General features: G+C 36.1%; 1 protein-coding gene across 9 annotated transcripts in view; it reads left to right on the forward strand.

The window, feature by feature from the left end:
• The window catches only part of CCNB3 (cyclin B3), a 149,202-nt gene continuing 122,950 nt past the window's right edge, over positions 179-26,430 (forward strand). For 5 of the 9 annotated variants that reach the window (XM_017029913.1, XM_017029917.1, XM_017029916.1 and 2 more), the window contains exon 1: positions 2,231-2,416. The gene's annotated coding sequence lies outside the window, so the exon portion shown is untranslated. Of the gene's footprint in view, positions 277-1,937; positions 2,077-2,230; positions 2,417-26,430 lie in introns of those variants that run through there. The other 4 variants (XM_017029915.1, XM_047442599.1, XM_047442600.1 and 1 more) reach the window with 4 other exon arrangements.

Consider the following 26,430-nt stretch of genomic DNA (forward strand, 5'->3'; position numbering starts at 1 on the left):
TGTCTGGCTCATCTCTGTGGAATATGAAGCAAAGGAAGAAAATGTTTACCTATTCTCCAAGCACAAGAAATCATATCTCTAAGAGATTAAAAATAAAACAAAACAAAAACAAAAACAAAAACTCTGTGTCTCCCAGCCCGGAAAGGAACAACCATGATTCATGCCTGGAAAATGTCTTAGTAATCCCCAGATGACAAAGAGAGAACTACTATGGATGATTAGAGCACTCTCCCAGGGCACCTGAATCCTGTCATCCTGGAGGCTAACCAGGAGCAGGTAAGGGCAGCATTTGGATGTGAAACCAATGAGCAAAATGTAAGGGAAGAATCAAGGCAGACCTGGCTCAGTCATAGGTCACGGTACATTTACTGCCTCTTCCTTCTCTTCTCGAGGCTCTCAAATTGGTCTGTACTGAGTAGAGGGGGTGGAGGGCAGGTGAGGGATAAGGGATATTCAAATAGTCAAAGTAAGGAATATATTGTATTAGTGTGTGAAGGTGTGTGAATAGTCTGCACTTAGGTTTGCCTTTAATAGCCAAATATTGAGATATTAAACACAAAAGCCTTGGTCATCATTTTTTTTCTAAGCACCATCATCTATTTTGTAACCTTGTTTATTCTACCCAAACTTCTTCTCTTTCACACAAACTTGTGAATAAGAGTGCAAATCAATACTTTAAATACACTCTCGGTTTGCATTTGGCTAGAAAAAACTATGAAGATAATAAAAATGGGACCTGCGTTTATAATATAATTATCATGAATAATGGCAAAAGGAAATTAAATGAAGTGAACCATCAGCCTTCATGAAATCACTGTCTGTCTGGTAGTCTTGCTGGGTGTCTTCCAGCCTCAGATTTAGCCTACCTTTTATGTGATGACACAATGACCATTTAGAAAATGGGCAGTGATGCCAATGATTATCAGACATCATTTACTGTGGACCAATATAATTGGGAACACCACTTCTTTTTCTCCTGATTTGGTTTTCCTGCCATGAGAGTACACAATGACATTTAGAGCAGCTTCATGCAACCATACTAAAGTGAAAAATTAGTCATTTTGAACATCTTGGCAGTGGAACTGTATAATTACTTCTGTCAAGTGTTTGTGTTTTGTCTGCATTGTACATATTTTTTCTTTCCTATGAGTGATTGGAGGAGTGGAGGGGGAAAATAAAGGACTTTTAAAGTCTATAAACATTATCATAAAAAAATTTCAGGGGGCAACTGCTAAAGATAAGTGGAGTCTTAGGAATGTTAGGGGTTCTTTTATAGGCAGGGGCTTAATTAGGCAGCTAAAGTTCTGTTCCATAACCTTGCGGTAGAAAATGACTTATGGCTAATTTTGAGGGGTGGGCTTGGCTTGGCAGTGGCTATTTCTGGTCAGGCTCTTCCCTTTTATAATTATGAAATTTCCTTCCCCTGATTTCCTAGAACATTTGCTTATTGTCAGGATAATTCATCTGACATTTACTAAATCTGGCCTTGTAGAGTTAATTACCTTTTCCTATTCCTAGATTACCTACATTGCAAGCCTAGAAGGTTATCTATCTCTTTTTCATTGCATCCACCACAATACTGGGCACACAGGTGGGCTCAAGACACAAGGTTTTGGAATTTTTAGGGCAGAAAACATAATTCAGAAATCACAGCGTCATGGGATCTGTAAAAATGACCAAAAAACTTGGTTAGCTATCTGAGTGGGCAGGCTTCTTTCCCAGAGCAGTAATTGTCACACTTTGGCGTGCATCAGAATCACCTGGAGGGCTTCAGTTTCTCATTCTACGGGTCTGGAGTGGGGACTGAGAATTTGCCTGGTACTGTGTATTACATGCATTATCTCAATTCACGCACAGCCTTATGAAATGCCTACCACTTTAATTATAAATGACTCGCTGGAGCGCAGAGGCCACGTGACTGGTGGGGGTGCTTGGCAGCACTGGCCACTTCCATCGTCTTGGGGGTGGGGGTGGCGGGGCGCGCGCGTGTGTGTGTGTGGTGATTAGCATGCCTTTTATTTCTTTCAGGGTCTGGAGATAGAAGAGAAATTCCCTGAGAAAAAGAAAAGTAGAAAGGTATTTACTCTGATCTTCTGGCCCCATCTGGTGGTTTTAAGTCTGACTAAAAAAAAAAAAAAAAAAAGCGCTGATTCGTGATCTCCCCCTGCTGGTGAGAATGGTGGGGTCAATCCGGCCGCCTCTCGTACCAGTTGTTCTGAGGTGCATTTCTGTGGAAGCATTTCCGTCATTCTGAGACAGTTGGGCTGAGGCGGTTGGTCGCCTCTCTCTCTCTCTCTCTCTGTTCCTCATCTACATTTTGATTGGTTTATTTTTGTATTGTTTTCTTTCAGTTTCCGATAGGTGGAGAACATTCTGCTAATAGCTTTTCTTCCAGTCCATTTGTGGCTTGTTAAAGGTACAACATGTATTGTCAGTCGTGACGAGAGCTTTTTGCCTTATATATTGATTATATATTATAAATATAGAAGTATATCCTGTGTCAGGCTGGAGATGTGGGAGGAAAACTGGCTGAGGGAACTAGCCTTTAATTAGTTTATTTCCTCCCTGTCAAACCAACAAACTTTTCTGGAACATCTGAAAAAATAACCTTTAAAAAGTACTTCAGGCTGACCGTGGTGGCTCACGCCTGTAATCCCAGCACTTTGGGAGGCCGGGGCGGGCAGATCACCTGAGCTCAGGAATTCGAGACCAGCTTGACCACCATGGCGAAACCCCGTCTCTACTAAAAAGACAAAAATTAGCCGGGCGTGGTAGCGCGCGCCTGTAGTCCCAGCTACTCGGGAGGCTGAGGCGGAAGAATCGCTTGAAACTGGGAGGCAGAGTTGCAGTGAGCCAAGATGGTGCCACTGCACTCCATCCTGGGTGACAGAGCAAGACTCTGTCTCAAAAGAAAAAAAAAACTTAAATATACAGTTACTTGGTGACAAAATGTTTATCCTGCCCTGCAGATAGTGTATCAGTGAATGAATGTATTAAACATTACAGCTGGGTGCAGTGGCTGCGGCAGGAGGATGGCTTGAACTGGGAGGCAAAGGTTGCAGTGAGCCAAGATGGCGCCACTGCACTCCAGCCTGGGCGACAGAGTAAGACTCTTGTCTCAAAAGAAAAAGAATTAAATAGCCAGGCGCAGTGGCTCACGCCTGTAATCCCAGCACTTTGGGAGGCTGAGGCAGGCGGATCACGAGGTCAAGAGATCGAGACCATCCTGGCCAACATGGTGAAACCCCGTCTCTATTAACAATACAAAAATTAGCTGGGCATGGTGGCATGCGTCTGTAGCTACTTGGGAGGCTAAGGCAGGAGAATCACTTGAGTCCAGGAGGCAGAGGTTGTAGTGAGACGAGATCGTGCCACTGCACTCCAGCCTGAACGACAGAGTGAGACTCTTGTCTCAAAAGAAAAAAAAATTAAATAGCTGGGCACGGTAGCTCACGCCTGTAGTGCCAGCACTTTGGGAGGCTGAGGCAGGCGGATCACGAGATCAAAAGATCGAGACCATCCTGGCCAACAAGGTGAAACCCCGTCTCTACTAAAAATGCAAAAACTAGCGGGACATGGTGGCATGCGTCTATAGCTACTTGGGAGGCTGAGGCAGGAAAATCACTTGAGCCCGGGAGACAGAGGTTGCAGTGAGCCGGGATGGCGCCACTGCACTCCAGCCTGGCGACAGAGCGAGATTCCATCTCAAAATAAATAAATAAATAAATAAATAAAATATACTATTACTTGGTAACAGCTGGGCGCTGCGGCTCACTCCTGTAATACCAGCACCTTCGGAGGCTGAGGCGGGAAGAAAGCTTGAGGGCAGGACTTTGAGACCAGCCTGGGCAACATAGCAAAACTTCCGTCTCTACCAAAAAATAAATGAAATAAAATAAAATTAGCAGTGTGTTGTGGTGCCCGCCTGTAGTCCCAGTTACTCGGGAGGCTGAGGTGGGAGGATCACTTGAGCCTGGGAGTGGGAGGTTGCAGTGAGCCGAGATCATGCCACTGCACTCCAGCCAGGACGACAGAGCAAGACTGTCTCAAAAGAAAAAATAATAAAAATGAAATATAGTATTACTTTATGACAGCTGGGCACGGTGGCTCACTCTTGTAATTCCAGCACTTTGAGAGGCTGAGGTGGGAGTATTGCTTGAAGGCAAGAGTCTGAGTTTGAGACCAGCCTGGGCAACAGAGCAAAACCTCCATTTCTACCAAAAGAAAAAAAAAATTAGCTGGGTGTGGTGGCGCGTGCCTGTAGTCCCAGTTACTCCGGAGGCTGAGGTGGGAGGATCGCTTGAGCATGGGAGGTTGATGCTGTAATGAGGAGTGATCTCGCCAACTGCACTCCAGCCTCCTGTGCCTCTTGCTCTCAAGTCAGGATGATGAATCGGGGTAATGACTTCATGTGGTCACTAGGAGGTCGCAGCTGTTGGAAAACGTATTCCCATGCAGTAGGAGAACACCCCGTAAAAAAGCCGTCTTGAGAAGGTGTTCCTCCAATTAAAAGGGAAATTGGTGATTTCTCTTGACAGAATCACTCCCCATCCTAAAAACTGCATTTTTGTGTATGTCGTATTTATTGATACATTTCCTTAATATTTCCATTATGAAGATATGTATAGGTTCAAGGAAGGCAGTAACTGTCTCTGTGTACAACCTAGCAGTGGCTCATGTGCTTAGACACTCAGTAACTCTTGGTGATGTTGAGATGATTATGACAATAGTGATGGTGTTGATTATAAGAGTGGACTCAATCATTTGTGTCTTCTGAAATTCTCAACAGTTTTACATTCACCTAGTGAATTTATAAATTCACATATCACATTCTGCCTTGTGGTGTATTTGTTTCATTATGAGCTTTATCTTTCCAAAAACAGGACTTCTTGAAGAGAATGACTGTGTTTTGCCCATTTTCACTTACCCTGCTAAGGGTAGCACAGGTTCATATATATTAGCAAATGCCTAATGATATTTACATAATTGAAAATAAGTGGTAATGGTTCTTCAAGAATTGCTAGCCCCAGGACCACATAGAAGTGCTTGGTCAAGGCCAAAAACATTGGGTCATCCTGATCCAAACTGCCTGGATTATTGTAATAACTGGCTAACTGATTCCACTGAATCTATCCTTGCCACTCTTCAATGTAACAGTTTTTAGGAACTGATATACTTTATTAGCTACTCTGTTATTTTTTATAATAGCTTTGTTGAAATATGATTCATATACCATGTAACTCACTCATTTAAAGTGTACAACTCAATTTTTTTAGTATATTGTGTCACAGAGTTGTACAACCATTACCATAATCAATTTAGAGCTTTTTTAATCACCCCCAGAAGAAACCCTATACCCTTTGTCCATCACACTCCAGCCACCCCTCCACCCCTATATCTCCCAGCTTTAGGCAACCACTAATCTACTTTCTGTCTCTATAGGTTTGCCTATTCCAGACATTCAGTATAAATGGAATAATACAATATGTGGTCTTTGGTGACTGGCTTCGTAGCAAAACTTTTTCCAGCAATGAGCTGTAGCAACATGTGTGAAATGTCTGTGAGGGAAGCTCATTGGAGAATCAGTGGCAAGGGTTTTTATTGGGGGCTGGTGATACAGGCACCTCCTGCCTAGCACATACCGAAATTTCAGATTTCTAGGAGGAAATCTGGTGTTCACCATAAACCATAAGGCAAAGTGAGCTCATATTATCAATTAGTGTTGTGGGAACCCTCCCCAAATCCAAGTTTCCAGATACTAGCCAAGGGCCAACCTTTGTAAGCAGGATTTTCAAATGACAATATTCTTAGGTCTGATATGTTAACCCTGAACCACACAGATTTTGATATGGATTGTGTTGATTCTGTAGATCAATCTGGGCAGTATTGCCATCTTAATATTAAGTAAGCTGATCAATGAACACGGAACATCTTTCCATTTATTTAGGTCTTTCTCTTAATGATGTTTTGTAGTTCTCAGTGTACAAGACAATATCGATGTTGGATTACATGGGTTGATTTTTCAAACTAGCCTTGCATCCCTGGGAGATATCCCACTTGGTCATGGTATATGTTAAATAATACTTTTAATATGTTGCTCAAATTTGTTTGCTAATATCTTGCTAAGAATTTTGTTTCTATATTCACGAGGGATATTGTTCTGTAGTTTTCCTATTTTGTATTATCTTTGGATGGTTTTGGCATCACAGTAAAAGTGTTCTCATATAATATGTTGGGAAGTGCTCCCTTTTCTATTTTCTGGAAGTGACAGATGTAGAATTGGTGTTGTTCTTTAAATATTTTGTTTAATTCTCCAGTGAAATCATCTGGGCCCGGAGATTACTCTTTTGGGGAATTTTAAAATTAATAATTGAATTTATTTAAAACTGGGACTATTCAAATGATATATTTCCTATTGGGTGTGTTGTGGCAGTTTGTGCTTTCCAAGGAATTCATCCATTTCTTTAAGTTGTCAACTTTATGTGTGTAGAGTCGTTCATTGTATTCCCCTATCCTTTTTATGTCAGTAGGGTCTGTAGTGGAATCCCTTGTTTTATTTCTTTTAAAAAACCTTTCATTGAGGTATCATTGATATATTAATACAAAGAGCTGCATATATTTAACGTGTACAGTTTGACAAGCTTCTTCATATGTAAACACCCATGATTCCATTACCATAATCAAGGTAGCAGTCACATCCAACACCTCCCAAAGTTTCCTTGTGTCCCCTTGTTGTTGGGTGTATTTTTGTTAAGAACACTTAACATGATATCGACCCTCTTAACAAATTTTGTAGTGCCCAATACTGGATTGTTTTTTGTTTGTTTGTTTGTTTGTTTGAGATGGTATCTCACTCTGTCACCCAGACTGGGGTGCAGTGGCGCGATCTCAGCTCACTGCAACCTCTGCCTCCTGGGTTCAAGAGATTCTCCTGCCTCAGCCTCCTGAGTAGCTGAGATTATAGGTACCCGCCACTACGCCTGGCTAATTTTTGTATTTTTAGTAGCGATGGGGTTTCACCATGTTGGCCAGGCTGGTCTTAAACTCCTGACCTCAAGTGATCCACCCGCCTTGGTCTCCCAAAGTGTCGGGATTACAGGCATGAGCCACTGCGCCTGGCCCAATACTATATTGTTAACTATAGGCACTGGGTTGTACAGCAGATCTCTAAAATTTATTCATCTATGTCATTTCTGATATTGCTAATTTGTGTCTTCTTTTTCTTTGTCAATCTTGCTAGAGGTTTGTTAGGCTTTTGATCTTTTCAGAGAACCTGACTTTATTTCATTGATTTTTACTCTTGGTTTTTCTGTTTTTAATTTCATTGATTTCTGCTTTTATCATTATTATTCCCTACCTTATGCTTGCATTGGATTTACTTTTCTCTTCTTTTTCTAGTATTGAGGTGGGTGCTTAGAGTATTGACATTTGCCAAACAGAAATTTAAAAATTTTTAGCTACTAAAAAATTTCTCATCCTGTTTTGAAAGTTTTTCTTCCTTTTGCAAGATTATGGAAATATTCTTTTGTAGCTTGTCTGGTATTTTCATGGTTTCATTTTTACATTCAAATCTTGGATCCATCTGTAATCTATTTTCATGTAAAAGTAAGGTAGATAATAACAGACCTTCTCTATTAGGCTTTAATACAGAGGTATAGGGAGGAGAAGAAAGGAGAGTTTATGAGAATGTTGTATACCTGGGAGGAGGGGAATATTGACAAATTGTGGAGTCAAAGGGCTGTCTTCTCTTTTCTCAGTATCTTCTCAGGATGGTACCCAAAGAAAAGTTTAAGTCAACTGGAGGTATGCCAGCTAAGGGAAAAATATGTTTAAAAAATTTTGGAAAAATCACAACTTTTACTCAATAATTTTTTTTGTTGTTGTTGATGTGAAAAGCTAGAAAAAAATAGAACGAAATTGCTTGCTTTGTGATTTTTGTATTGCTGTGGTTTTGGTGGATAGACCTTTTCCTCTCATGACTAAAAACTTAGGGTGACTTGTGTTAATGCTATGTGTCCTTTATGTGCATCCCAATGGGTTACTTGTCTACAATGATGACCTTTACGAGAATATATTCATTTACTTAGCGAACAGATTTTTTTCAGTTATCTATCAAGGAGGCAGATATGGGGTACTGGTCATGTTTGTTCTCTGGAATCAGACTGCTTGTGTTTAAATTCTGGCTGTAATGTTTAAAACATTCATTCACTGATATACTGTCTGCAGGGAATGATAAAGATTTTGTTTTGTTAGCTATGACCAGAGCTTTTTGCCTTACATATTGATTATATATTATAAATATAGAAATATAACGAGTCACGCTGGAGATGTGGGTGGAAAACTGGCTGAGGAAACTTAGCCTTTAATCAGATTTTTTTTCCTCCCTGTCAAACCAACAAACTTGTCTGGAACATCTGACAAAATAACCTTTAAAAAAGTACTTGAGGCCTGGTGCAGTGGCTCACACCTGTAATTGCAGCACTTTGGGAGGCCAAGGCAGGTGGATTGCTTTGAGCTCAGGAATTCAAGACCAGCCTGGCCAATATGGCAATACCCTGTCTCTACTAAAAATACAAAAATTAGCCGGGCATGGTGGCGGTCACCTGTAATCCCAGCTACTCTGGAGGCTGAAGCAGGAGAATCGCTTGAAACCCAGAGGCAAAATCTACAGTGAGCCTAGATCACGCCACTGCACTCCAGCCTGGCTGACAGAGCAAGACTCTGTCTCAAAAGAAAAAAACAAAACAAAACAAAACACAAAAACCTTCACTATAGTATTATTTCGTGAAAAAATCTTTATCCTGCCCTGCACATAGTATATCAGTGAATGCATGTTTTAAACATTACAGCCGGGTGCGGTGGCTCACACTTGTAATCCCAGCACTTTGGGAGGCTGAGGCAGGAGGATTGCTTGAGGACAGGAGTTTGAGTTTGAGACCAGCCTGGGTAACATAGCAAAACCTCGGTCTCTACCAAACAAACAAACAAACAAAATATTAGCCTGGTGTTGTGGCACCCTCCTGTAGTACCGGTTACTCAGGAGCCTGAGGTGGGAGGATCGCTTGAGCCCAGGAGGTTGATGCTGCAATGAGGAGTGATCTCACCAACTGCACTCCAGCCTCCTTTGCGTCTTGCTCTCAAGTCAGGATGATGAATCGGGGTAATGACTTCATGTGGCCACTAGGAGATCGCAGCTGTTGGAAAACGTGTTCCTATGCAGTAAGAGAACACCCCATATAAAAGCCGTCTTGAGAAGGCATTCATCCAATTAAAAGGGAAATTGGTGATTTCTCTTTGACAGAATCACTCCCCATCCTAAAAACTGCATTTTTGTGTATGTCGTATTTATTGATACATTTCCTTAATATTTCCATCATGAAGATGTGTATGGGTTCAAGGAAGGCAGTAACTTGTGTGTACAACCTAGCAGTGGCTCATGTGTTTACACACTCAGTAACTTCTGGTGATGTTGAGATGATTATGACAATAGTGATGGTGTTGATAATAAGAGTGAACTCAATCATATGTGTCTTCTGAAATTCTCAACAGTTTTACATTCACCTAGTGAATTTATAATTCACACATCACATTCTGCCTTGTGGTGTATTTGTTTCATTATGAGCTTTATCTTTCCAAAAACAGGACTTCTTGAAGAGAATGACTGCGTTTTGCCCATTTTCACTTACCCTGCTAAGGATAGCACAGGTTCATATATACTAGTAAATCCTTAACGATATTTACATAATTGAAAATAAGTGGTAATGGTTCTTGAAGAATTGCTAGCATGAGACCATAAAAAGGTGCTTAGTCAAGGCCAAGGACGTTGAATCCTGCTGATCCAAACTACCTGGATTATTGTAGTAACTGACTAACTGGTTTCATTGAATCTATCCTTGCCACTCTTCAATGTAACAGTTTTTAGGAATTGATATACTTTATTAGCTACTATGTTATTTTTTATAACAGCTTTGTTGAAATATAATTTATATACCATGTAACTTGTCATTTAAAGTGTACAACTCAATTTTTTTTAGTATCCTGTGTCACAGAGTTGGACAACCATCACCATGATCAATTTAGAGCTTTTTTAATCATCCCCAGAAGAAACCTTATACCCTTTATCTATCACACCCCAGCCACCCCTCCACCCCTATACATCCCAGCTTTAGGCAACCACTAATCTACTTTCTGTCTCTATATATTTGCCTATTCTGGATATTCAATATAAATTGAATCATACAATATGTGGTCTTTTGTGACTGGCTTCTCAACATAACATTTTCCAGCAACAAGCTGTGACAACATGTGTGAAATGTTGTCTGTGAGGGCAGCTCATTGGAGAATTAGTGGCAAGGGTTTTTATTGAGGACTGGTCATACAGGCACCTTCTGCCTAACACATACCAAAATTTCAGATTTCTAGGAGGAAATCTTGTGTTCACCATAAGCCATAAGGCAAAGTGAGCTCATCTTATCAATTGGTGTTGTGGTAATCCTCTCCAAATCCAACTTCCCAGATGCTAGCCAAAGGCCAACCTTTGTAAGCAGGATTTTCAAATGACAATATTCTTAGGGCTGATATGTTATCTCTGTTCCACACAGATTTTGATAGGGATTGTCTTGATTCTGTAGATCAATCTGGGCATTATTGCTATCTTAACAATATTAAGTAAGCTGATCAATGAACACGGGACATCTTTCCATTTATTTAGGTCTTTCTCTTAATGATGTTTTGTAGTTCTCAGTGTATAAGACAATGTCTATGTTGGATTACATGGATTGATTTTTCAAACTAGCCTTGCATCCCTGGGATAAATCCCACTTGGTCATGGTATATATTAAATAATACTTTTAATATGTTGCTCAAATTTGTTTGCTAATATCTTGTTAAGAATTTTGTTTCTATATTCATGAGGGATATTGGCCATGGAGTTTTCTTATTTTGTATTATCTTTGGATGGTTTTGGCATCACTGTAAAAGTGTTCTCATATAAGAAGTTGAGAATTGTTCCCTTTTCTATTTTATGGAAGAGACATATGTAGAATTGGTATTAATTGTTCTTTAAATATTTTGTTTAATTATCCAGTGAAATCATCTGGGCCTGGAGATTTTTCTTTTGGGAAATTTAAAAATTAATAATTTAATTTATTTAAAACTGGGACTATTCAAATGATGTATTTCCTATTGGGTGTGTTATAGCAGTGTGCTTTCGAAGGAATTCATCCATTTCTTTTAAGTTGTCAAATTTATGTGTGTAGTGTTGTTTAAAGTATTCCTTTATCCTTTTTATGTCAGTAGGGTCTGTAGCATAATCCCCTGTTTTATTTCTTTTAAAAAAACTTTTATTGAGGTATAATTGATATATTAATACAAAGAACTGCATATATTTAATGTGTATAATTTGACGAACTTGTTCATATATAAACACTCATTATTCCATTACCATAATCAAGGTAGTAGACACATCCAACACCAGCCAAAGTTTCCTTGTGTTCCTTTGTTGTTGTTGGGTGTTTTCTTGGCAAGAACACTTAACATGATATCTACCCTCTTAACAAATTTTGAAGTGCCCAATGCTGTTAACTACAGGCACTCTGTTGTACAGCAGATCTGTAAAATTTATTAATCTATGTCATTTCTGATATTGCTAATTTGTGTCTTCTTTTTCTTTGTCAATCTTGGTAGAGGTTTGCCAGGTTTTTAATCTTTTCAAAGAACCAGACTTCATTTAATTGATTTTTACTATTGGTTTTTCTGTTTTTAATTTCACTGATTTCTGCTTTTATCATTATTTTTTCCTAAGTTATGCTTGCATTGGATTTATTTTTCTCTTCTTTTTCTAGTATTGAGGTGGGTGCTTAGAGTATTGACTTTTAAGCTTTTCCTCTTTTCTAATATTAAATAGTGTTATAAATTTACCTTTCAGTTTTAGCTGTGGCCCATATATATATATATATATATATATATATATATATTTTAGCTGTGACCCACGTATATATGTATATATGGTATCATCTATTCTATATATATCATCTGTCTCTCTCCCTATATATGTACAATATATATTTTATTAAATAGTATATAATATTGTATTTTATGTATAATAAAATATATAATGAAATATAATATATAATACAATATATTTATGTATATAATATGTACACTTATTATATATAAATTTAAAAATGAATATATCTATTTTAAATAGAGACAGAATGTCCCTACGTTGCTCAGGGTGGTCTTGAACTCCTGGCCTCAGGTTATTGTCCCCATGTTTGCCTCTCAAATTGCTGGTATTACAGGTGTGAGCCACCACACCTGGCCCACAAATTTTGATGTGTTGTATTTTCGTTTTCATTCAGTTCAGTGTTTTTTTTTTATTTTGATTAAACCTTCATCTTTGATCCATGAGGTATGTCGTTTCGTTTCCAAGTGTTTGGAGATTGTTCTGTTATTATTTATTTATTTATTTTGAGATGCAGTCTTGCTCTGTCGCCCGGGCTGGAGGGAAGTGGCACGATCTCGGCTCACTGCAAGCTCCGCCTCCCGGGTTCATGCCATTCTCTTGCCTCAGCCTCCCGAGTAGCTGGGACTACAGGCGCCTGCCACCACGCCCGGCTAATTTTTTGTATTTTTAGTAGAGACAGCGTTACACTGTGTTAGCCAGGATGGTCTGGATCTCCTGACCTCGTGATCCACCCGCCTCGGCCTCCCAAAGTGCTAGGATTACAGGCATGAGCCACCACGCCTGGCCCTGTTGTTCTGTTATTCTTGTCACTGATTTCTAGTTTGATCCCATTGTGGTCAGAGAACATACTGTGTTATGAGTTCAATTCTTATTTTATTTGCTGAGATTTGTTTTACAATTGAGGGCATCATCTATTTTGGTGAAAGTTCCATGGGCACTTGAAATGAATGTGTATTTTTTTTTTTTTTGCGGGGGGATCGTGTTCTATAAATGTCAATTAGATTCTGTTTGTTGCTGTTGTTGTTGAATTCCTCTATACCCTTGCTGATTTTTTATCTAGCTGATTTTTAAAAATCAATTATTGAGAGAGGGATGTTGAAGTCTCCAACTGTAAATGTGGATTTGTCTATTTTTCCTTTCAATTCTGTCAGTCTTTGCTTCGTGTATTTTGCAGATCTGATGGTTGGTACATACACGTTTGAGATTTCTGTATCTTCTTGGTCGATTGACTCTTTTATTATTATGTAATGTTTCTCTCTGACCCTGTTAATTTACTTTGCTCTGATATTACTTTAACTGATATTAATATAGCCACTTTTGTTTGTTTAAAATTAATGTATGCATGATATATCTTTTCCCACTTTTTAATTTCCACCTGCTTATATCATTGTATTTGAAGGGGGTTTTCTTGTTGACAGCATGTCATTGGGGTGTGCTTCTTTTTTTTTTTTTTTTTTTTTTTTTGAGACAGAGTCTCCCTCTGTCACCCAGGCTGGAGTGCAATGGTGCGGTCTCGGCTCACTGCAACCTCCACCTCCCGGGTTCAAGTGATTCTCCTGCCTCAGCCTCCTGAGTAGCTGGGAATACAGGTGCACACCACCACGCCTGGCTAATTTTTGTATTTTTAGTAGAAACGGGGTTTCACCATGTTGATGTTGGTCAGGCTGGTCTCGAATTCCTGACCTTGTGATCCATCCGCCTCAGCCTCCTAAAGTGCTGGGATTACAGGTGTGAGCCACCGCGCCAGGCCTTGTGTGTGTGTGTGTTTGTGTGTGTGTGTGTGTGAGACAGAGTCTCACTCTGTTGCCCAGGCTGGAGTGCAGTGGCGCAATCTCAGCTCAGTGCAACCTCTGCCTCCCAGGTTCAAGCAATTCTTGTGCCTCGGCCTCCCAAGTAGCTGGGACTACAGGGTCGGGCCACCACACCCAGCTAATTTTTTGTATTTTTAGTAGAGACAGGGTTTCACCATGTTAGCCAGGATGGTCTTGATCTCCTGACCTCCTGATCCGCTCGCCTCGGCCTCCTAAAATGCTGGGATTACAGGCATGAGCCACTGTGTCCGGCCTGGGGTGTGCTTTTTAAAATTCACTTTGCCAATATCTGTCTTTTAATTGTTTTACTTAATTTATTTACATTTAATATGATTATTGATCTGTCATATCTTAAGTTTGCCATTTTTATTTTTTGTTTTCTGGTTATTCCTTCTAGTTTTCATTTTTATATTTTCTTTTTCTTTCTGCCTTCCAGTCAGTTACATGAACATTCACTATAATTCCATTTGGATGCATCTATAGTGGTTTTGAGTGTCTCTCTTCACATGGCTTTCACAGTGGTTGCTCTGGGTATTACTCTGTGTGTGTGTGTGTGTGTGTATTTTCAGATTCTTCTGGAGTTATCATTTCGCAGTTTGAGAGAGGTATAGAAACGTTTCCTTCCTTTACATCTCTTTATCCTCCTTTATTTTTTGATATTACTGTTTTTAACATTTCCTGTACCTACATTGAGAACCACATCAGACCATGTTCTAATTTTTGCCATAACTGTCAAACATATTTGAGAAAACTCAGGATCAGAAGGAAAGTCTGTTGAATTGACCCATACTTTGCTCTTTCTATTGTTCTTTCTTCCTGATGTTTTAAGATTCCTTCTTTTGTACCTTTTTTTTTAATTTGTAAATTTTCTATTCTATTGGGGTAGATTTACTGGCAACAAATTCTCTTAATTTTCCTTCATCTGAGAATGTCTTGAGTTTCCCTTCACTCTTGTTTTTTTTTTTTTTTTTTTTTTTTGAGACGGAGTCTTGCTCTGTGGCCCAGGCTGGAGGGCAGTGGCACAATCTCGGCTCACTGCAACCTCCGCCTCCCAGTTCGCGCCATTCTCCTGCCTTAGCCTCCTGAGTAGCTGGGACTACAGGCGTCCGCCACCACGTCCGGCTAATTTTTTGTATTTTTAGTAGAGACGGGGTTTCACCGTGTTAGCCAGGATGGTCTCCATCTCCTGACCTCGTGATCTGCCCACCTTGGCCTCCCAAAGTGCTGGGATTACAGGCATGAGCCACCGCACCCGGCCATTTTTCCCTTCACTGTTGAAGGATATTTTCCCTGGATATTGAATTCTGAGTTTAGAGCTGTTTTCTTTTAGTTTTTGGAAAATATTGTGTCATCTTCTTCTGGGCTGCACAGTTTCTGATGAGAAATCTACTGTTATTCAGAAATTTTTACTTCTATTAGAAATATTTCATTACCCTCTTGCTGCCTTCAAAGTTTTTTTCTGTGTTGTTAAGTTTCAGAAGTTTTATGATGTGTTTATTATGTTAATTACTTTGGGTTTATCCTGTTTACGATTTGCTTAGCATCTTCAGTCTAGATTTATATCTCTCCCAGATTTGGGAAATTTTCGGTCTTATTTCTGAAACTAAGCATTTTTGTAGTAAAGATTAATAGAAGTAGAATCTCTGGGTAAAAGGGTTCAAACATTTGAAATCCAACAGATATTTTCAAATAACCCTCCCAAAGTTTATGGCAGTTTTTATTTGCATCGACAGTGAATACAAATGACTGTTTACCCACTCCCCCATCAACAGAAGTTATTATCAATATATTAAACCTTTGCCAGTGTCCTAAACAAAAATAATCTATTGTTGTTTTAATCTGCATTTATTTTTAGTGAAATTGAACATATTTTCATGGTTAGTGGTCATTTGTATTTCTTTTCTAATTGTTCATTTTCTTGCCAATTTTTTGATGGGAAGTTCATCTATTTTATTGATCATAGAGTTCTCGTACATTTTTTCTTATACTTTAAGTTCTAGGATACATGTGCAGATGGTGCAGGCTTGTTACATCGGTATACATGTGCCATGGTGGTTTGCTGCATCCATCAACCCATCATCTACATTAGGTATTTCTCCTAATGCTATTCCTCCCCTAGGCCCCCACCCCCTGACTGGCCCGGGTGTGTGATGTTCCCCTCACTGTGTCCATGTGTTCTCATTTTTCAACTCCCAGTTATGAGTGAGAACATGTGGTGTTTGGTTTGCTGTTCCTGTGTTAGTTTGCCTAGAATGATGGTTTCCAGCTTCATCCATGTCCCTGCAAAGGACATGAACTCATCCTTTTTTATGGCTGTATAGTATTCCATGGTGTATATGTGCCACATTTTCTTTATCCAGTATATCACTGATGGGCATTTGGGTTGGTTCCAAGTCTTTGCTATTGTGAATAGTGCTGCAATAAACATACATGTGCATGTGTCTTTATAGTAGAGTGATTTATAATCCTTTGGGCATATACCCAGTGATGGGATTGCTGAATCAAATGGTATTTCTCATTCTAGGTCCTTGAGGAATTGCCACACTGTCTTCCACAATGGTTGAACTAATTTACACTCCCAAGTGTAAAAGTGTTCCTATTTCACCACATCCTCTGCAGCATCTGTTTCCTGACTTTTTAATGATCGCCATTCCAACTGGCATGAGATGGTATCTCATTGCGGTTTTGATTTGTATTTCTCTGGTGACCAGTGATGATGAGCTTTTTTTCATATGTTGGCCATATAAATGTCTTCTTTTGAGAAGTGTCTGTTCATATCCTTTGCTCATTTTTTGATGGGGTTGTTTGTTTTTTTCTTGTAAATTTGTTTAAATTCTTTGTAGATTCTGGATATTAGCCCTTTGTCAGATGGATAGATTGCAAAAATTTTCTCCCATTCTGTAGGTTGCCTTTTCACTCTTATGGTAGTTTATTTTGCTGTGCAGAAGCTCTTTAGTTTAATTAGATCCAATTTGTCAATTTTGGCTTTTGTTGCCATTGCTTTTGGTGTTTTAGTCATGAAGTCTTTGCCCATGCCTATGTCCTGAATGGTATTGCCTAGGTTTTCTTCGGGGGTTTTTATGGTTTTAGGTCTTACGTTTAAGTCTTTAATCCATCTTCAGTTAATTTTTGTATAAGGCATAAGGAAGGGGTCCAGTTTCAGTTTTCTGCATATGGCTAGCCAGCTTTCCCAACACCATTTATTAAATGGGGAATCCGTTCCCCATTGCTTGTTTTTGTCAAGTTTGTCAAAGATCAGATGGTTGTAGATGTGTGGCATTATTTCTGAGGCCTCTGTTCTGTTTTATTGGTCTATATATCTGTTTTGGTACCAGTACCATGTTGTTTTGGTTACTGTAGCCTTGTAGTATAGTTTGAAGTCAGGTAGCATGATGCCTCCAGCTTTGTTCTTTTTGCTTAGGATTGTCTTGGCTATCCGGGCTCTTTTTTGTTTTCATATGAAATTTAAAGTAGTTTTTTCTAATTCTGTGAAGAAAGTCAATGGTAACTTGATGAGGATAGCATTGAATCTATAAATTACTTTGGGCAGTGTGGCCATTTTTATGATATTGATTCTTCCTATCCATGAGCATGGAATGTTTTTCCGTTTGTTTGTGTCCTCTCTTTTTTCCTTAAGCAGTGGTTTGTAGTTCTCCGTGAAGAGGTCCTTCAAATCCCTTGTAAGTTGTATTCCTAGGAATTTTATTCTCTTTGTAGCAATTGTGAATGGGAGCTCACTCATGATTTGGCTCTCTGTCTCTTATTGGTGGATAGGAATGCTTGTGATTTTTGCACATTGATTTTGTATCCTGAGACTTTGCTGAAGTTGCTTATCAGCTTAAGGAGATTTTGGGCTGAGACGATGGGGTTTTCTAAAGATACAGTCATGTCATCTGCAAACAGAGACAATTTGATTTCCTCTCTTCCTATTTGAATACACTTTATTTCTTTCTCTTGCCTGATTGCCCTGGCCAGAACTTCCAATACTATGCTGAATAGGAGTGGTGAGAGAGGGCATCCTTGTCTTGTGCCGGTTTTCAAAGGGAATGTTTCCAGCTTTTGCCCATTCAGTATGATATTGGCTGTGGGTTTGTCATAAATAGCTCTTATTATTTTGAGATACATTCCATCAGTACTTAGTTTATTGAGAGTTTTTAGCATGAAGATGTGTTGAATTTTATCGAAGACCTTTTCTGCATCTATTGAGATAATCATGTGATTTTTGTCATTGGTTCTGTTTATGTGATGGATTACGTTTATTGATTTGCGTATGTTGACGTGAACCATCCTTGCATCCCAGGGATGAAGCCAACTTGATCGTGGTGGATAAGCTTTTTGATGTGCTGCTGCATTTGGTTTGCCAGTATTTTATTGAGGATTTTTGCATCAATGTTCGTCAGGGATATTGGCCTGAAATTTTCTTTTCTTGTTCTGTCTCTGCCAGGTTTTGTTATCAGGATGATGCTGAACTCATAAGATGAGTTATGGAGGAGTACCTCTTTTTCTATTGTTTGGAATAGTTTCAGAAGGAATGGTACCAGCTCCTGTTTGCACCTCTGGTAGAATGCGGTTGTGAATCCGTCTGGTCCTGGGCTTTTTTTGGTTGGTAGTCTATTAGTTACTGCCTCAATTTCAGGACTTGTTGTTGGTCTATTCAGGGATTCGATTTCTTCCTTGTTTAGTCTTGGGAGGGTGTACGTGTCCAGGAATGTATCCCTTTCTTCTAGATTTTCTAGTTTATTTGCATAGAGGTGTTTATAGTATTCTCTGATGGTAGTTTGTACTTCTGTGGGATCAGTGGTGATATCCCCTTTATTGTTTTTTATTGTGTCTGTTTGGTTCTTCTCTCTTTTCTTCTTTATTAGTCTGGCTAACAGTTTATCTATTTTGTTAATCTTTTCAAAAAACCAGCTCCTGTATTCTTCGATTTTTTGAAGGGTTTTTCATGTGTCTGTCTCCTTCAGTTCTGCTCTGATCTTAGTTATTTCTTGTCTTCTGCTAGCTTTTGAATTTGTTTGCTCTCGCTTCTCTAGTTCTTTTCATTGTGATGTTAGGGTGTTGATTTTAGATCTTTCCTGCTTTCTCCTGTGGGCATTTAGTGCTATAAATTTCCCTCTAAACACTGCTTTAGCTGTGTCCCAGAGATTCTGGTATGTTGTGTCTTTGTTCTCATTGGTTTCAAAGAACTTACTTATTTCTGCCTTAATTTTGTTATTTACCCAGTAGTCATTCAGGAGCAGGGTGTTCAGTTTCCATGTACTTGTGTGGTTTTGAGTGAGTTTCTTAATCTTGAGTACTAATTTGATTGCACTGTGGTCTGACGGACTGTTATGATTTCCGTTCTTTTGCATTTGCTGAGGAGTGTTTTACTTCCAATTATGTGGTCAATTTTAGAATAAGTGCAATGTGGTGCTGAGAAGAATGTATATTCTGTTGATTTGGGGTAGAGAGTTCTGTAGATGTCTATTAGGTCCACTTGGTCCAGAGCTGAGTTCAAGTCCTGAATATCCTTGTTAATTTTCTCTCTCGTTGATTTGCCTAATATTGACAGTGGGGTGTTAAAGTCTCCCACTATTATTGTGTGGGAGTCTAAGTCTCTGTAGGTTTCTAAGAACTTGCTTTATGAATCTGGGTGCTCCTGTATTAGATGCTTATATATTTAGGATAGTTAGCTCTGGTTGTTGCACTGATCCCTTTACCATTATGTAATGCCCTTCTTTGTTTTTTTTTGATCTTTGTTGGTTTAAAGTCTGTTTTAGAGACTAGGTTTGCAACCCCTGCTTTTTTTGCTTTTAATTTGCTTGGTAAATATTCCTCCATCCCTTTATTTTGAGCCTATGTGTGTCTCTGCACATGTGATGGGTTTCCTGAATACAGCACACCGATGGGTCTTGACTCTTTATCCACTTTGCCAATCTGTGTCTTTTAATTGGGGCATTTAGCCCGTTTACATTTAAGGTTAATATTTTTATGTGTGAATTTGATCCTGTCATTATGATCCTAGCTGGTTATTTTGCCTGCTAGTTGATGTGGTTTCTTCATAGTGTTGATGTTCTTTACAATTTGGTATATTTTTGCAGTGGCTGGTACTGGTTTTTTCTTTCCATATTTAGTGCTTCCTTCAGGAGCTCTTGTAAGGCAGGCCTGGTGGTGACAAAAATCTCTCAGCATTTGCTTGTCTGTAAAGGATTTTATTTCTCCTTTGCTTATGAAGCTTAGTTTGGCTGGATATGAAATTCTGGGTTGAAAATTATTTTCTTCAAGAATGTTGAATATTGGCCCTCACTCTCTTCTGGCCTATAGGGTTTCTGCAGAGAGATCCGCTGTTAGTCTGATGGGCTTCTCTTTGTGGGTAACCCGACCTTTCTCTGGCTGCCCTTAACATTTTTTCCTTCATTTCAACCTTGGCAAATCTGATGATTATGTGTCTTGGGGTTGCTCTTCTCAAGGAGTATCTTTGTGGTGTTCTCTGTATTTCCTGCATTTTAATGTTGGCCTGTCTTGCTAGGTTGGGGAAGTTCTCTTGAATAATATCCTGAAGAGTGTTTTCCATCTTGGTTCCATTCTCCCTGTCACTTTCAGGTACACGAATCAAACGTAGGTTTCATCTTTTCACATAGTCCCATATTTCTTAGAGGCTTTGTTCGTTCCTTTTCTTTTTTTTCTAATCTTGTCTTCACACTTTATTTCATTAAGTTGATCTTCAATCTCTGATATCCTTTATTCCGCTTGATTGATTTGGCTACTGATACTTGTGCATGCTTCACGAAGTTCTCATGCTGTGTTTTTCAGCTCCATCAGGTCATTTATGTTCTTCTCTAAACTGGTTATTCTAGTTAGCAGTTCCTGTAACTTTTTATCAAGGTTCTTAGCTTCCTTGCATTGGGTTAGAACATGCTCCTTTAGCTCGGAGGAGTTTGTTATTACCCACCTTCTGAAGCCTACTTCTGTCAAATCATCAAACTCATTCTCTGTCCAGTTTGTTCCCTTGCTGGCGAGGAGCTGTGATCCTTTGGAGGAGAAGAGGCATTCTGGTTTTTGGAATTTTCAGCCTTTTTGCACTGGTTTTTCCTCATCTTCGTGGATTTATCTACCTTTGGTTTTTGATGTTGGTGACCTTCGGATGGGGTTTCTGTGTGGACATCCTTTTTGTTGATGTTGACACTATTCCTTTCTGTTTGTTAGTTTTCCTTCTAACAGTCAGGCCCTTCTGCTGCAGGTCTGCTGGAGTTTGCTGGAGTTCCACTCCAGACCCTGTTTGCTTGGATATCACCAGCAGAGGCTGCAGAAAAGCAAAGATTGCTGCCTGTTTCTTCCTCTGAAAGCTTCGTCCCAGAGGGGCACCGACCAGATGCCAGCCAGAGCTCTCCTGTATGAGGTGTCTGTCAACCCCTGCTGGGAGGTGTCTCCCAGTCAGGGGGGAAGGGGGTCAGGGACCCATTTGAGGAGGCAGTTTGTCCCTTATCAGAGCTCGAGCACTGTGCTGGGAGATCTTCTGCTCACTTCAGAGCCAGCAGGCAGGAACGTTTAAGTCTGCTGAAGCTGTGCCCACAGCTGCCATTTCCCTCAGGTGCTCTGTCCCAGGGAGATGGGAGTTTTATCTATAAGCCCATGACTGGGGCTGCTGCCTTTCTTTCAGAGATGCCCTGTCCAGAGAGGAGGAATCTAGAGAGCTTGTTCTACATTTTGGAAAGTATTCTTTTGTCATTGGTATTGTCTTTTTTTTCATTTGCCAGTTTGTTGTTAGGTTTTTTTTAACCTTGCTTTGCTGTTTGTTGTGCCAAATATAAATTTTAAAATTTTTAGCTACTAACAATTTATCATCTTGTTTTGAAAGTTTTTTTTCCTTCTGCAAAATTATAAAAATATTCTTTTATAGTTTGTCTGGTATTTTCATGGTTCCATTTTAAATTCAAATCTTGGATCCACCTGTAATATACTTTCATGTAAAAGTAAGGTAGATTATAATAGATCTTTTCTATTACACTTTAATACAGAGGTATAGGGAGGAGAAAGGAGAGTTTATGAGAATGTTGTATACCTGGGACGAGTGAAATATTGACAAATTGTGGAGTCAAAGGGCTGTCTTCTCTTTCCTCAGTGTCCTCTCTGGATGGTACCCAAAGAAAAGTTTAAGTCAACTGGAGGTATGCCAGCTAAGGGAAAAATACGTTTAAACATTTTTGGAAAAATCACAACTTTTACTCAATAAGTTTTTGTTGTTGTTGATGTGAAAAGCTAGGAAAAAATAGGAGAAATGAAACTGCTTCTTTTGTGATTTTTGTGTTGCTGTTGTTTTGGTGGATAGACCTTTTCCTCTCATGACTAAAGACTTACGGTGACTTGTGTTATTGCTACATTTCCTTTATGTGCATCCCAGTGGGATACTTGTCTACAATGATGACCTTTACAAGAAGATGCTCATTTACTTAGTGAACAAATATTTTTCAGTTATCTATCAAGGAGGCAGATATGGAGTGGTGGTTATGTTTGTCCTCTGGAATCAGACTACTTGTGTTTAAATTCCAGTCTGATCACTTATTAGCTGTGTGATCTTGGGAAAGTTATTAAACTTTTCCATGTCTCAGGATCCTCATCTGCAAATGGGGATATTAATACCTTACAGGATTTTTGTGAATGTTAGAACAGTTTCAAACATATAGTAAATAATTTATAAACATGAGCTTTTGTTAATGCTTATCACTGGAGATAGAGCACAACATGTATGGTCCTACGTTTTATGAACCTTGCATTCTTGAGAAATTAAAAATTACAAATTGCAGTATTACTCCTTAAAAAGTTAAGGGACTGAGTATAATGGAGTGGGAGAAGAATCCTCCTTTAAATAACATGGGCAGGGAAGGCCTCTCTGAAGAGGGGACGTTTAAGCTGAGACTTGATCCTTGAGAAAAAACTTGCAATTTCAAAAATAGAGGGAAGAATGTTCCAGGCTGCGGGAACATCTTGTACAAAAATACCAGGTACAGAGAGTTTGGTAAATTCAAATATTTGAAAGAAGACTATTATGGTTGGAGAGCAGGGAATGCAAAATGCAGTTTATGAAGTGAGGTTCATGACGTAGGCAGGACCTTGTAGACCAGGGTAGGTAGTTAGGATTTTTATTTTAAATTCTGTGGGAAATTACTGAAGAAGGGAGGGACACGATACCATTTTTCCTTCTTAAAAAGATTGCTCTTGTTGTTGTGTTGTATTTGTATCAGAGAAAGGTAAATTTTGGAAACGGGAAAAAAGCTTTGAGGCTCTTGACAGTGAGCCAAATAAGAGCCTAGGTGGCAGCGGAGATGGAGATACATTGACAAATACAGATATATTTTGAGGTCAAATAAACAAAGGTGATGGAAAAAAGTTAGAATCATAGACGATACCCAGCTTTCTGGCTTCAATAAAAGGTTTGATGTGGTATCAATTTCTGAAAGGGGGGATACTGAGAAAACGATCAGGTTTGGGGAGGGGCTTGACAATTCAAAGTTCTATTGTGAACATGCTGAATTTGAGGTGTCTATTAGACATCCAAGTGGAGATGTGGAGTAGTAATTTGGATTCATGAAACTGGAGTTTAGGGCCAGCTTTTAGATGATATTTAAAGTCATATATCTGGATGAGATAACCTAGGGAGATTAAAAAGACAAGAGGACCTGGGATCATATATATAGAATGTATATATAAATATATATAGAATATATACAAAAATATATATATAGAATATATATACAAATATATATAGAATATATACGAATATATATAGAATATATATGAATATATATAGAATATGTATAAATATATATATATTCGATATATATAAATATATATTCTATATATATGAATATATATCGAATATACATATATAGATATATAAATATATATAGAATATATATATTTATATATATAGAATATATATATTTATATATATAGAATATATATATTTATATATATAGAATATATATATTTATATATATAGAATATATATATAGAAATATATAAACATATATATAGAAATATATATATAGAATATATATAAAAATATGTATAGAATATATATAAAAATATATATATAGAATATATATAAAAATATATATAGAATATATATGTAGAATATATAAAAATATATATAGAATATATATAAATATATATAGAATATATATAAATATATATAGAATATATAAAAATATATATATAGAATATATAGATATATATATAGAATATATGAATATATATATAGAATATATATATAAATATATATAGAATACATACAAATATATATATAGAATATATCTATAAATATATATATAGAATATATCTATAAATATATATATAGAATATATCTATAAATATATATAGAACATATCTATAAATATATATAGAATATACATATGAATATGTACACAGAATATACATATGAATATGTACATAGAATATACATATGAATATGTACATAGAATATATATATGAATATGTACATAGAATATATATATAGAGTATATATAAATATATACATGAATATATATAGTATATATATAGAATATATATAGAATATATAGAATATATATAGAATATATAGTATATATATAGAATATATAGTATATATATAGAATATATATAGTATATATATAGAATATATATAGTATATATATAGAATATATATAGTATATATATAGAATATATAAATATATAGAAAATATATAAAATATATATACAAATATATAGAATATATACAAATATATAGAATATATATACAAATATAAAGAATATATATAAATATATAGAATATACATACAAATATATAGAATATATACAAAAATATATAGAATATATATACAATATATGTAGAATATATATATAGAATATAAGTATAAATATATATAGAGAATATATATAAATATATACAGAATATATATATAAATATATATATACAGAATATATATATAAATATATATACAGAATATATATAAATACATGTACAGAATATATATAAATATACATACAGAATATATATAAATATACACACAGAATATATATATAAATATACTCACAGAATATATATAAATATATACATAGATATATATAAAAATATATACAGAGAATATTTATAAATATATACAGAGAATATATACAAATATATATAGAGAATATATATCTAAATATATATAGACAGAATATATATATATAGAATATATGTATAAATATATATGGAGAGAATATATATAAATATATAGAGAGAGATATAAATACAAATATATGGAGAGATAACATACAAATATATATACAGAGAATATATATATAAATATATATAGAGAGAATACATATATATAGAGAGAATATATATAAAAATATATATAGAGAGAATATATATATAAATATATATAGAGAGAATATATATATAAATATATAGAGAGATAATATATATAAATATGTATAGAGAGAATATATATAAATATATATAGAGAATATATATAAATATATATAGAGAATAAATATAAATATATAGAGAATATATAAATATATATAGAGAATATATAAATATATATGGAGAATATATAAATATATAGAGAGAAAATATATAAATATATAGAGAGAATATATATAAATGTATAGACAGAATATATATAAATATATAGAGAGAATATATATATAAATATATAGAGAGAATATATATAAATATATATAGAGAATATATATAAATATATAGAGAGAATATATATAGAGAGAATATATATATAAATATATGGAGAGAATATATATATAAATATTTAGAGAATATATATAATATATAGAGAATATATAAATAATATATGAATATATACATAATATATATATAAATATCTACATAGAATGCATATATAAATACATATACATAGAATACATATATAAATACTTATACATAGAATACATATAAATACATACATAGAATATATATAAATACATAGAATATATATAAATACATATGTAGAATATATATAAATACATATATAGAGAATATATATGAATACATATATAGAGAATATATATACATACATATATAGAAGATATATATACATAATATATAGAGGATATATCTACATAAATATATATAGAGGATATATCTATGTAGAATATATATAGAGGATATAGCTATATAGAATATATATAGAGGATATATCTATATAGAATATGTATAGAGGATATATCTACATAGAATATGTATAGAGGTTATATCTATATAGAATATATATAGAAGATATATATAGAATACAGATAATATATAGAATATATATAGAATATAGATAATATATATAGAATATATAGAATATATATAGAATATACATATAGAATATATATAGAATATATAGAATATATATAGAATATATATAGAATATATACATAGAATATATATAGAATATATATAAAGAATATATATAGAATATAGAAACATATAGAATATATAGAAATATATATATAGAATACATATATAGAATATATATATAGAATAGATATATAGAATATATATATAGAATATATATAGAATACATATATAGAATATATATCTAGAATATATATGTAGAATATATATGTAGAATATATATATAGAATATATATATAGAATATATATAAATACATATAAATATATGTAGAATATATATATAAATATACACA

This window comes from Homo sapiens, chromosome X, assembly GCF_000001405.40.
Source record: "Homo sapiens chromosome X, GRCh38.p14 Primary Assembly".
In the NCBI taxonomy this organism is placed as follows: Eukaryota; Metazoa; Chordata; class Mammalia; order Primates; family Hominidae; genus Homo; species Homo sapiens.